Source organism: Homo sapiens, chromosome 7 (genome assembly GCF_000001405.40).
Source record: "Homo sapiens chromosome 7, GRCh38.p14 Primary Assembly".
NCBI lineage: Eukaryota > Metazoa > Chordata > Mammalia > Primates > Hominidae > Homo > Homo sapiens.
This window is the reverse complement of record NC_000007.14, coordinates 135,407,279-135,420,689: the sequence shown is the minus strand read 5'-3', so window position 1 is coordinate 135,420,689 and position 13,411 is coordinate 135,407,279. Positions and strand designations below refer to the sequence as shown.

The 13,411-nt window shown below is 34.3% G+C and overlaps 1 protein-coding gene across 16 annotated transcripts in view; it reads left to right on the top strand.

The window, feature by feature from the left end:
- Positions 1 to 13,411, top strand: part of CNOT4 (CCR4-NOT transcription complex subunit 4) — a 148,308-nt gene that overhangs the window by 89,413 nt on the left and 45,484 nt on the right. For 7 of the 16 annotated variants that reach the window (NM_001393373.1, NM_001190847.2, NM_001190850.2 and 4 more), the window contains 4 exons: positions 5,428 to 5,514; positions 6,258 to 6,359; positions 7,077 to 7,202; positions 10,042 to 10,175. In NM_001393373.1, the coding sequence (NP_001380302.1) occupies positions 5,428 to 5,514; positions 6,258 to 6,359; positions 7,077 to 7,202; positions 10,042 to 10,175 (449 nt within the window). The remainder of the gene's footprint in view (positions 1 to 5,427; positions 5,515 to 6,257; positions 6,360 to 7,076; positions 7,203 to 10,041; positions 10,176 to 13,411) is intronic. The other 9 variants (NM_001393371.1, NM_013316.4, NM_001190849.2 and 6 more) reach the window with 2 other exon arrangements.

Below are 13,411 nucleotides of genomic sequence, written 5' to 3'. Positions count from 1 at the left end.
TCTAACCACAGGGCACTTCTATATACTCCTCTAACCAACGGGCACTTATGCCAGTATTTACACCTACTAATCTTACTGATTAGAATCTACTTTTTTTTTTTTTTTTTTTTTTGGAGACATGGTCTCACTTTGTCACCCAGACTGGAGTGTAGTGGTATGATCATGGTTCACTGCAGCCTCAGCCTCCTGGGCTCAAGTGATTCTTGTGCCTCAGCCCCCCAGGTAACTGGGTCTACAGGTGCATATCACCACACCTGGCTAGTTTTTGTATTTTTTGCAGAGATGGGGTTTTGCCACATTGCCCAGGCTGGTCTTGAACTCCTGAGCTCAAGCAATCTGCCTGCCTTGGCCTCCCAAAGTGCTGGGATTGCAGGTATGAGCCACTGCGCCCAACCTAGAATCTACTTTCACGTTTCTGACGTGCAGTTCCAGTAAATGAATGGAACTTTTATCTTGATTTGAGAGCTCTTGGATATGGATGTACCTGTTTTTATTAATACATCTTGGATCTGATCAACTGTAGTACTGGAGGCATATGAAATAGCATCCAAAATTTGGATGAAATTAAGGCATAGACTGAATATGATATTTGGATTCTAAGTTTCCTACCTCTTTGGGTATGTGATTTATAAGAGGGTTTTTGTTGTTGTTTGTTTTTTGCCCAGGCTGGAGTGCAGTGCACAATCTCAGCTCACTGCAGCCTCCACCCCCTGGGTTCAAGTGATTCTCCTGTCTCCACCACCTGAGGAACTGGGATTACAGGTGTGCACCACCATGCCCAGCTAATTTTTTTTTTTTTTTGGATTTTTAGTGGAGATGGGGTTTCACCATGTTGACTAGGCTGGTCTCAAACTCCTGACCTCAAGTGATCCACCTGCCTCGGCCCCCCAAAGTGCTGGGAGTACAGGTGTGAGCCATCGTGTTTTTTATTTACTTACAGAGATTTCTTATTTCCGTTTCAAGTAACTCTAGTAAGATTAATCTTAACTATTATATTGAAGGAAATGAATCTAAGTAGTGACTACTGAAAGAGAGTACTTTATCATGAGTCTAAGTATACTTAAAAATATACTCTACTAGTTTTATATGTTTGAAATAATTCTTTCTTGGTGAGAGGACATTGGATTTTCTTAAATAAAATAAATGGGTGCTTTCCTTTATTTCTCTTGAAAGTCCAGAAAGACCAGAGACAAGTGTTTTGTTTTTTATTAAATAGTACCACTTCTAAATAATATCTTTTAAAATTCTCTTAATTTGTCTTTATAACCTTTTTAGTATTTGGAAAACTTCTAGTGAAGTTGGCTTCACTCGAAAACTCAAAAGAAGGTTCAAATTGTTAGCGTCACTTTCAAGTCAAAGAAGGATCCTTGTAATTTACTTATCTTTGGATGATGAACAATTTGATATTTGACCTAATTCTGATTAACAGAATAGGAGAGTTTAGGAACAATTAAAGCTTATTTTGAAAATAATTTTTGCATACCAAAAAGCTTCATACCAAGATTGATTGTCAAATGTATTCATTTGTTGGTTGATAGAAAAAAAAAGATCTTAGAAGACAAGGTAATTAGAGCCAACGATAGAGGTAATGATGATCACCTTCTAAGTCCTAAAATTTTAGATTTGTGAGGACCTAATTCATTTATTCTGCAAATTAATTCTTGAATACCTACTATTTGCTAGATATTTTGATGCCAGGGGGCGGGTAGGGGGGAAGTAGTTAGCAAGCCAGACACAAGCTCACAGACTGGTAGGGAAGACAGAATTTTAAGTGCTTAAATGTGTGCTGAGTATTTATAAAAGGAAATTACACAGCTTTTTGGGAACATATATTAGAACACTTAGCTAGTGTGGAGATTGACAAAAAGCTTCTCTGAGGAAAGGATAATTAGGGTCAGCTTGAAGAATTAATAGGTGTTATCTAGGTAGCACATAAAGAAGAGTGCCCTGGGTATATGTGATAACCCAGGAAAGTAGCTTGTTTGATGAGCTATGACTTTAAAGACACAACATTTCATTTTACAAATAAGAAACTGAGGCAAAAGGAAGTTGAGTGACTTGTCCGTGGTCTTACAGTTCCTATTCCAGTGTATTCTGTGTTGATTATTGGCATGTTGTTCATCCATCCATTCATTTATTCACTCATTCATCCATCTGATTACCAAGTTTTTGTTTTTTCTCTGTAGTATCTATGAATACTTGACTGTTTTCCCAAGGAATATATAGCAAGATATTTTGGTACTAGACATGCCCTTGAACATTTATAATTCTGTCACATGGCCTCTTATTTTCTATGTTAGTAGGAAAATTGGCCCACTGTGAAGGACATCGTGATATTGAGTATATAGATAATGTGCTGATGTACAGGGTGCTCTGTCTACTCTCCATAACCTTTGTTAGTTCACTAGAATACTATTTTGCTAGTTGTTTAGGCAGAATCTAGAGTGTTCAAGTTAATATGGAAAGTTTAAATTCATTGTTTTTCCCTTGCCTGGGCAGCCTATTTCTTATCAACCGCTTGCCATTTGCTAATACTTTGAGGCCCACTATTGTTACAAATCCGTGTAATTCTTTTTGTTTAATGCTAAGATAGTTCAGTTTTTCAGTAAGCATTTATTGAGTACCTGCAATATGCCAGGCATTATTTAAGACACTGAGCATATACTGATAAACAAGTAGTAGTAGATAAATAAGTAGTACCTTCCTTTTTACGAAAGTAACAATATGAGAAGTGTTGTGTGCTGTAAAGGCACAAGGGATAGCATTCCACCTTGGGAGGGAGGTACGTACCCCTCTGCTGTCTTTGGGGTAAAGTGCTTCTGGCACAGCAACTATACAAATGCTTCTGGATGAGAAAGACCTCAATCTGCAAGTGATTTGTTTGGCTGGAAGATTAGATTGCAGTGGTGAGAAAGAAGGTGCCAAGGTAAGTGGTAATGGATCATGAAGGGCTTTCTAACCACGCTAAGGAGTTTGCACTTTATCCTAAAGGCAGTGGAAAACTTTTGAATGTTCTTAAGAACAGAGTGACACGGTTAGATTTGTGCTTTGACAGTACCATTCTGGCTGCAGTGTGAACATGTCATCATAATTACATACCAATCTCATGTTGTTATAAAGGTGTTACACCCAAACGTTGGCCAGAAAACATTTCCATAAACCAGTGGCCTTCAACCTTATCCGACTCAGTGTCCACTTTTTAAAAACGAATGTAACACCCCTTGACTTTCATGAAATGACTTCTTGATAATATAATTTGTCTACACACATAATTTGAAAAAGTATATATAAACAAGGAATAAAAGGAAAGTAATTATAAAAAGACTATTTGTACATATAAATGCTTGTACATTCCTACTCTAGAACCTTGCTATTCAAGGTGTGGCCTCTGGGCCCATAACATTAATATCACTGGAGAGCTTATTAGGCAAACTCTTCAGCCCTGCCTCAGATCTGCTGGATCTGAATCTGCATTTTAACTAGATCATTGAAGAATTTCTTTACATATTGAGGCTCTAAAGTACTATTTTATCCTATGTAATAAAGAAGTAAGATACTTGCACCTATTTGTAAAATCATGGACTGTGACAACTACAAATGCAGATTGTTACTGGTGTATGAATTGGCAACTCAGGTACCATGAAACATCAATAATGTGATTTTTCTCAGATAACTCTTAGTAAAATTTTAAACAAAGCTGGGAAAATACTTTGTAATTACGTATAATATGAAATTTGTTTCTGGCTCAATAAACAGCTTCAGGCATGTCTTGCAGGGCATTCAGAAATTGTGCGGGACAATTCTTTGTTGTACGGGGCTAGCCTGAGCCTTGAAAGACATCTCTGGTCCCCATCCACTGAACACCAGTAGACTCTCCCAGTCACTTTAACAGTCTCTCCCAATAAAAGTTTCCACAAATTTCCAGACTGCCCCTTGAGTGCTTCCCTCATTGAGAACTACTGCCTTAAACCTATGATGCTGATGCAGGACAACCTGTGACCGGCCTGACTGAACCCTTTGGAGCAGGTATCTTAGCTATGACGCTGGTTGCTGAGTTGGTATGCATCCAGCTGGAATATTGAATGCAGTTCCAAACTCCACTAGCCAGAAAGCTTTTTCAAACTCTGCTCTTCTCTCTTTATCAACCCTGAGACTTTGCTACGGATGACTTAAGGGTCATTGTGTTAGCCACTGTTACTATCATATCCCTCAGGGGTTTTGGGTGGAAAAGAGATTGAAACTCAGTGTAATTACCTCACCTTCTAATCCATTAGAATTGGCTACAGCAAACATAACAGTTACCTTATACTTACAAGCACCTAAAATAAAATATAAGATTAATTACTTTCTATTAATTAGGTAGAAGACTAAGAATTAATGATACACCCGCCGTAGATTTATTCATGAAGCTTTGATTCTATCAAATGCAGAACATAATAGCTAAATTATAAGTCTGTAAGAATATTATCAAATATGAATGGGAAGAAATACTTTACACACACTTGAATAGTTACATGCAGAAAGCTTTCATTTGCAGAGAGCTTGCTATTTGGAGAGATTGTAGGAACAGTAGGTCTAAAGATACATTCTAGGAAAACAGAATTTTGAGGTAGTTGCAAATTATGTGAGATGTCTTTTTATCAAGTTACATACCGGTCAAATTAGCCAAGGTTAAGTTTGTAAGAGAAGCTGAAAGAATGCATATAGTGTTCACAAAGTAAAGGAGATGAGGTACGTAGGTACCACCAAGAAGTAACCAGGTAATAAAGAAAGAAACGTGTAAATTTGTTTCCGAAATGTTACGTACCAGGAAAAGTAGGGGAAAAAGCCTCATGAGACAGATGAGAAATGGTAAAACTGATTGACATAGGAAACTGTATGCACAATGATAAATCATAAAGCATAGAGGGTTGAGTGGGCACTCTGTTACTTGAAATTTGTGATTTATAAACAGTGTTATATGCAATAGATTTATGAGTAAAGACTGTCTTTATGTCTGTTCTTTCAATTCTGTCTTTACCTTTAATACATAATTTTGGTCATTGTTTTTGAAGAATTGCTTTCGTGTAAGGATCATCTCTTAATGGCAATGTAGTTAAGATCTTTGATCTGTTTTGTGTTTAAGAATACTGTACAGGTAAGATCCCATAGACTATTGGAGCAGTTATTAGAACATAGTAGATAATACCAAATTTAGTGAGTCTCAGTTTCTATTCAGTGGGTCAAGAAAAAAAATAGCTTTTAAACTCTTTTGATTTCCTATAGGTTAGCTACACAAACTGCAATTAGGAGGTAGTGACATTTATTAGAAAACTTTAAAAATTATCTTTTTCCTTTTGCTGAAGAGGGATGATGAATGTCTCCATTATAAGGATAAAGTTGTTTAAAATGGGGACAGTTTATACCTTATTTCTTCTTCTTTTATAGGTTTTAAAACGACCAGAATATTTTGGGAAGTTTGGTAAAATACATAAAGTTGTCATCAATAATAGCACATCATATGCAGGCTCACAGGTAACTAATTTTAGGGATTTTTGCTTTTCCTCCCTATGGTCTGGGCTTGACCTGGGCTGTTCCAAAGGAAACTTTGCTCTCTCTGATTAGAAAGCTTGAGGGACAAGGACTTAAGCAATGTAGTGACCTCTGTTGGTGGGGTGGGGGATTTTTTGCTGCTTATTTGACCCTTCTAGGACTTAACAATTAAGAGGGAAATAGTAAAACAAACATTTAGTGATGGAGTGAAAGGGAGGGGGAGGTGAGTCTGTTATCAGGCAATGTGATAAATAGATGAGGATTCGATAGTGATTTCTAATCTGTAATATTTTCAGATATTGAAAACTTAATAGTGTCTTTGTTATGCTGCTGTTATCAGATAGAATAGTTTTCCAGATTGCATTTATTTTTGAGAATGTAATTTGACATAGTCTTTAAGTCTTATTTTTTAATCTAAATTTTAATTTTTTTATAACCTTGACGAGCCTGTCAAATGACTGTCTAAAAAAATAAATCCCAAGCCAAAGTAATATTTTATTCACATATATTACAGTATTCTTAAAATCAGATAAAATTCATTGAGTATTATTACTTTCAAATGAGCTAGTTTAGTGTTTAATCAAAACTGCCACTACTACTACTAATTATTGTCATTAGTAATAGTAGTAGTCAGGGTCTTTAGAATTCCCTAGGTTGCAGTAGAATTTTTTTAGTATTGTTTAATTTTTAACTAATAACAGTGGAATGGGATGTTTTCACTTTAGGGTCCAAGTGCCAGTGCTTATGTAACCTATATCCGGTCAGAAGACGCTCTCAGAGCCATACAGTGTGTCAACAATGTGGTAGTAGATGGCAGAACACTTAAGGTAATATAGTCCTCTTGATTCTTTTTTTTTTTTTTAAGGAAGACGAGATAAAATATAGTAAGTAGAGGAGAACTGAGCATTTATATATTAAATTTGACAGTTAATTTGAAGAGTCTGTCTTAGGGTCCATACCATCTATTATAGCTAATTTGTTTACTGCTGGTTTCTGTAGGGTCCTCTTTTACCAGATAGGAATAAACACATTCATTATCGGGGATAATCTTTTAAAATATCGCATTTTTACATATATCTTATTTTGTGAAAATAGTACCATTATTTTCTTCAGAAATAGGTAGTCCTTAAATATATGGACATTGATTCCAGTTTCAGTGAAGAGTCCCACTAAGCAAAGCTTTACTGTTAGTGGAAGGAGGATGGCATAATTAGAAAAAGGAATTTGCCTTCTTATGTGTCTAACCACTCATAACATGGAACAGATTTTTTTGTCTATCTCCTCTCCTTATATCTAGGGAAGATTTGGGTGTCCAAGTTTTGGAAACCATAGACAGATGTTTCCTTTAGTTCTTCCAAATGAGCCTCATCTATAATAAATCCTGCTAATAAGAGTTTAGTTCTCTAGTATTTGCAGCCATACTTTTTGTTTTGTCATGTTTGTGCCTCATTTTAGGTGACTTGAAAACACTAAACATGGAGATTCTCATTGTGTTGTCAGTTCACATTGAGTCTTCTTTTCCTTTACCCCTCTTCCTCCTGCAGGCATCTCTAGGTACAACAAAATACTGCAGTTACTTCTTAAAGAATATGCAGTGTCCAAAACCTGACTGCATGTATCTTCATGAATTGGGGGATGAGGCGGCCAGCTTCACAAAAGAGGAAATGCAGGTAGTAAAGTCATGTGAATTATCAACTTTGCAGAAAAGGGAGTACTTTTTTTTTTATTAGTTAACATTGCAAAAGCAAAAACTAAGGATTTGATTTTGTAAAAACTGATATTACTTTAAAGTAGCATTTGCCAAATGAAGTGTTTAATGGAAGGTCAGTTCTGCAGGATATTGTTACAATAAAAATGTGTCTGTGGTCAACTAAGTTTGAAATGCTAGATTAATGAAGATGAACAGGTTTCTTTGCTTTAAGACTTTTCAGAGTCCTTAATATGCTAATACAGATCCACGAAGGGAATTTACAACCAGAACTTAGTTGACCAGGAAAACACTTTGGGAAATGCTATTTTAAGGGGAATGTCAACAAAATGAAAGCTAAGTGGGATATTGTAATTATTTGTTAAACCAATCTATACTCTTTACAGAGCTTGCTAGAAAATAATACTCTGTCAAATGATGCTGATAAACTAATATTATTTTTACAAAATTATTCTCCCCATGCAAGTGTCCACTGAGTCAGTATCCTGTAAAGGGTGAATTGAAGGCTTAATATCCTATGTTCTTTTTTACATTTCCTCTTCTCCTGTCTCCTTTCAATTTGTAGTATAAACATGCCTTAACAAGTAAAAATGTTGACCATACGACATATTAAATGAGGATTATACCAAAGCACAATGCTGCACTTCCCTATTGTAGATGAGGACTTCAGATTGTTGCTGTGGACTTTTCAGGAATACTTCTCATTTAGAAGGTGGGGGGCATTCATTGCTACCTTTCATTCTCCAGGTCAAACTAGAGAAAGTCTGGTAGGGGCTCCTTTAAGAAAAGATTGTTAAATGGAGTATTACCTTTTTTGACTTGGAGCTAGTACAGATTAAATCCCATTATAATAAATACATCAGAGTTTTCTTGATAGTATGGTCTTTATGATTCAAAAACAATGTTAAAATAAGGTCTATCTGATATTTAATAAGGACAGATGACTTAACTGATTTCTTAATGCTTTTTTTGTTTGTTTTTTGGATGAAACCTTCTTGAATGAAATCTAAGGTAGAACCATTTCAAAATTTCAAACTAAATTTTAATTAGTAGAGGGTATACTTTATTCATATTTCCTATCAATTTCTGTCTATCAGAATTTACAAGTCCCACCCAGTTGATCTCATTTAAAGTAATATTAAACAATAAAATAAAATGTATGGGCTGTCCTTTGGAACTTGTTTGTAATGGGATTTAACCTGTCTTTATGAACTGCCCCTGTAGAGTCATTTTAATATCAAGTTGAGCTCTTTGTGGCTTTCCACAGATATTAGTGAAAGCCGTATCTCCTGAAGTATTGATTCCAGAAATAATTTTCAAGACTTTTCATGTTTTAAAAATGTAAATTTCACATCTAATGTATTTTTAAAAATAATTTAAAACTAATTTCATAATGTTGTCCTGAATTTATCTTGCTCTTCTTTAGCTGAGTTTAAAATTACTTTAAAAGGGGATTTTTTGTTGTTGTTGTTAAAACACTTTCTTGATGTAGGAAAGAAATTTGAATAAATTTTATGGCAAAAATCAGAAAATCTTTCCTTGTTACTGCGTAACTCAAAATTTAGTGCCATAGGAAATATTTATAGGTCCAATAGAAACAAGCAAGTGGCCTCTCAGAACAGGGAACGATGCATTGTGCAGTATATATGACACAATTATGCTCAGTTAAGTGCAATTGCCCTCACTTGTTATTGTTTTGATTTGTTCCGTTTTGGTTTTGTTGTATAACATCTATTTAGACCATAATTTAAAAAAATTAACATCCCTGAAGGTAAGTAAAACTATTCTTCCAGTCTAGATATACATGCAAATAGTAAAATGTTACTCAAAGTAAGTTCATTATCATTTATTTTTGTGTCTAATTAGCTTCCACAGGCAATCTTTGCCTAATTTTTCCCATAATATTTGTGACATTGCCTTTTGATGTACACCTACCCAGCTAGAGTAAGCATAGCATTCTTTTGTGTATAGAGCAGAGGTTGGCAAACTTTTTCTGTAAAGGCCAGTTAGTAAATATTTTAGGGTTTCTGAGCTATGTATGTAGTCTTCTGTCACAACTACTTTACTCTGCCTCTGTTGCACTACTACATCCTGCCTTTGTAGCAGAATGGCAGCCAAATACAATATGTAAATGAATGGGCATGACCATGTTCCAGTAAAACTTTATTTATAAAAACAGGCAACTGGCTGTAAATTGCTGACCCTGGGTCTAGAGTTTAAAATACATTAATTTTTATTTTACTTTTGATAACCATAGAAGAAAAGAGAAAGCAAAAACTAATTCATGGAAGTTTTACTTAGTGTCAAGATAATGAAGAATATAGTAAAACTGTTCATCTATGTATTACTTCAAGTGCTAATCTCCAAATTAAAAAGGAGACTGATGAATTTTGGCTGATTTTCAGAAAACTCAGTGTTACAAGACTTAATTCTTACATGAAAGACTTGGAAGTAGGTTTAAAGTGGACCTTACACTTTTTGAGCTAGCAAAAATGTTCTTCCCTTAATATGCTTTTCTGTACAATAAATGGGTTGATGAAATGCCTTAATTTAATTTATCAGATATATATCATATAATTTTGTTGGAATGACTTTCATTGATCTAGAAGTTTTGTGATATCCTCACAGGTTTCTCTTACTTGTTTTATTTAAAAATTTATTTAAAATTTATTTAATATTTTATTTTTTAAAAATATTATTTATTTTATTTAAAATATATTTAATAATTCAGAAGATTATTCAGTATTTTATACCAGCCATTTTGTGAATCCCACTGCAGTTTTAATTTCTTCTTTCGTTAGGCGGGTAAACACCAAGAATATGAACAGAAGCTACTTCAAGAATTATATAAATTAAATCCCAATTTTCTTCAGCTATCTACGGGTTCAGTTGATAAAAATAAGAACAAAGTGACACCACTGCAGAGGTACGATACGTAAGTATTGATATTGATAGTCAGACATCTTACCTTCTTATCAGTTGATCTTCTCTTTTCATTTTAGATCTTTTTCAGGCAAAATCCTTGTTGACAAGGTCTGTCATTTATGCAGAATTGTTTAGCTGTATGGGAAATGTTGAGTCACAATTTCTGGGTTTGAATGCTTGCTGCCTACTTTTCCCTGGTAACACTTCAGACTAGCTTTTTGATGGGTTCACCTTTTGTGGTGATTTGCAGACTACTCTGAGCCCAGGGAATACTTTCCTTATTAAAGAGAAAATTAAGGGATTTTAGGTTTTAAAAGGCTCTGATTACCTAATTGAGGTCCCCCTTGATATAATTAGGGGGAAAATACTATAAAAGGGAAAGTGGGTGTTATCTGAAGGAAGCCTTGTGTGTTGGGGACACAGATATTCAAGGATATCTAGTTCCAGGAATCACTAAAGTCATTTAAATCCTGTAAATGAACAGGGAGTATCCCATATTCAGAATCTTACTTATCTTAGGAGACCAGTCATCTCCTATCTTCCATCTCATTATGGTTTTGGGTAAACTATATTGTGTCAATGCTTAAATAAATTTATGGTCTTCAGTAGAGAGTCTCATTCTGATATGTTGATCTTCTTATCTTAGATTATATTTTGTTATGGCCTGTCAGAAAATCATATTAATAAATATAATTTGGGAATTTTATTCTATCCTGAACTTTCTTTAAATTTGATGTGTTAGGTTTTTTGTTCTTTTTTATTTGATAAGTTTAACTTTTATCAAATGAATTTTAAAAGTAAATGTTGTAATTAATTTATGTTGATGATCTTTTTTTAAAATTCCAAAGTTAAATTTGTTTGAATGTTGTCCTAATGTCTAGGTGTTAAATATTATAGCCCAGTGTCTGTTTGGTGCTAAAATGATGTAAGAACTATTTTCAAACATAGCTAATAATAACTACATGGATTATTGTTTGAGTCCATTTCTTCAAAAACACATTCTTTAAATTTTGAAGTCTGTGTTTATTCATTTTAAGAGTAAAGATTATTTAAATTATTAAAAACTAAATTAGACACATATATATGTGTATGTAAATATAAATAAATATAAAATAGGCCACAAAGCGAAACATAAAGTTACTGTATAGTAAACTATGTAAAATTTGTTTATATCAAAGCTAAGAATAAAAGCTAAGTCAAAACAGATCTTTCTGGTTTGACAAGCTTTGATCTTTTCCTTTAATCTTTTGTACCCACCCTTTTCTAGCCCTGTATGGTTATTTTATGGCAAACCATATGCTATTACTTATCTTATTCGTTGCCACCTCTGTAGTGCTTGGTATAAGAATGAAGTTATTGTAGTAAACAGTGGTTTATTTTAGATGCTTTTAACATTTATGCACATCATTGTTTGCATTAAAAATGTTGTCATTCTAATTTAAGTCAAATTCTGGGTTTATAGCCCTTGGTGATTTCAGAGCAAAAATTTAAAATTTAGATGATCTCTTTGAGATAACATTTGTTGTCTTCTGAATATAAAACTATATGTTTTTATTGAAGGAAATGTGAAAAATTTATGAAAGCATACAGAATAAAATAAACATTGCATATGATCTTAATACCCAGAGCTTTTCATTGAAAGTGATTTGTGTACAGCATGCCCTCCAATAACATCATTTCATTCAGTATTGTTTTGTTACAATGTTGATGAGAAAAAAATCGATTCCCAGTTGGGGCCACTGCCTCTGTGGACTTTGCCTGTTCTCCCCATGTCTGCGTGGATTTCCTCTGGGCACTCTGGTTTCCTCCCACATCCCAAAGCTGTGCACGTTAAGTGAATTGACATGTCCAAATTGTCCCATTGTGAGTGAGTGTGAGTGTTTATGTGTGTGAGGGGACCCTGCCAAGGTTGGTTCCTGCCTTGCCCTCTGATTTGCTAGGATGAGCTCTGGCCACCTGCAACCCTGAACCCCAGTAAGTAGGTTGGAAGATGAATGCATGAATAAATACAAATTATTGTAAAATGTAAATTTGTAAAGTGTTAGTGTATTTTCTTATACACTAATTCCTTGCATTGTGTATTTTCTTAGTCTTTTTTCTTCTTGCGAATGCCTATAAACCATTATACACAGAGTACCTTGGTTTGTTACATTTGAAAACCTAATACATATTATTATGAATAATTTCCCCATGTCACTAAAACATAATTTTTTATGGCTATGTAGTATTTCACTATATGTTCATATTTTAAATTTATTAAGCCAACCTTCTGCTATTGTATGTTATGTTGACTTTGTTGATATTATTGATAACACTGTGATATGAACATCTTTACATATAAATGTTATATGGTTGTAACATATAAATGGTTATAGCTTTGATTGTTCCTACAAGTAGAACTGCTGAGTCAGAATATGAGAGTACCTATTTCCTTGAATTGGGTATTTTTTTTTGCCTTCTGCATACTTGCCAATTTGATAAACAAAAAAAGCTGTCTCATTTTAACTTGTATTTGATTAACAGAGTGAACTTTTTATGCACTGTGAGTTTATGTTTCCCATGTTTTATTTGTGTGTTTAAAAGTTTTATATGAGTTACAGAGATCTGAACTTCCCCAATCAGTTGATCAATTATTTGTGTTTCAAAATACATTGAATTTGTAAATCAGTATTGGAAGAATTTATATTCTGTGACACTGAGGCCGGGCCTGGTGGCACATGCCTGTAATCCCAGAACTTCATGAGGCTGAGACAGGCGGATCACTTCAGGCCAGGAGTTCGAGAGCAGCCTGGGCAACAAAGCAAGACCCCTGCCTCTACAAAAAACAAAAACAAACATTGACTCCTCCCAACCATTAGCATAGCATATCTCTCTTGTGCCTTTCGGGAAAGATTTTCTTTTTCCTGTTTTATTGTATTGGATCTCCTACCACCTCTTTCTATTTGAAAAATGCTTAGGCTAAACAGTGCAAAAACAGTGTTAGACTGGTAGCACTAGCAGGTGTTTTTACCTCATACTTACTTTCATGGGGATGTCTCTAGTGTTTTATTTACTCTTTAAGGATGATTTTGATCATTTACTTGAGATAAGTATTTTTAATCACAATATGAAATACCTTGTTATTCCTCATTTATTGAGACTTTTTTCCTTTAGATTGGAAATGAATATTGGAATTTACCAAAAGTATCTTTGGCATTTATAACAAGTAGTTAGCTTTTACTGTGTTTAGTCTGTTCTTGCATTGCT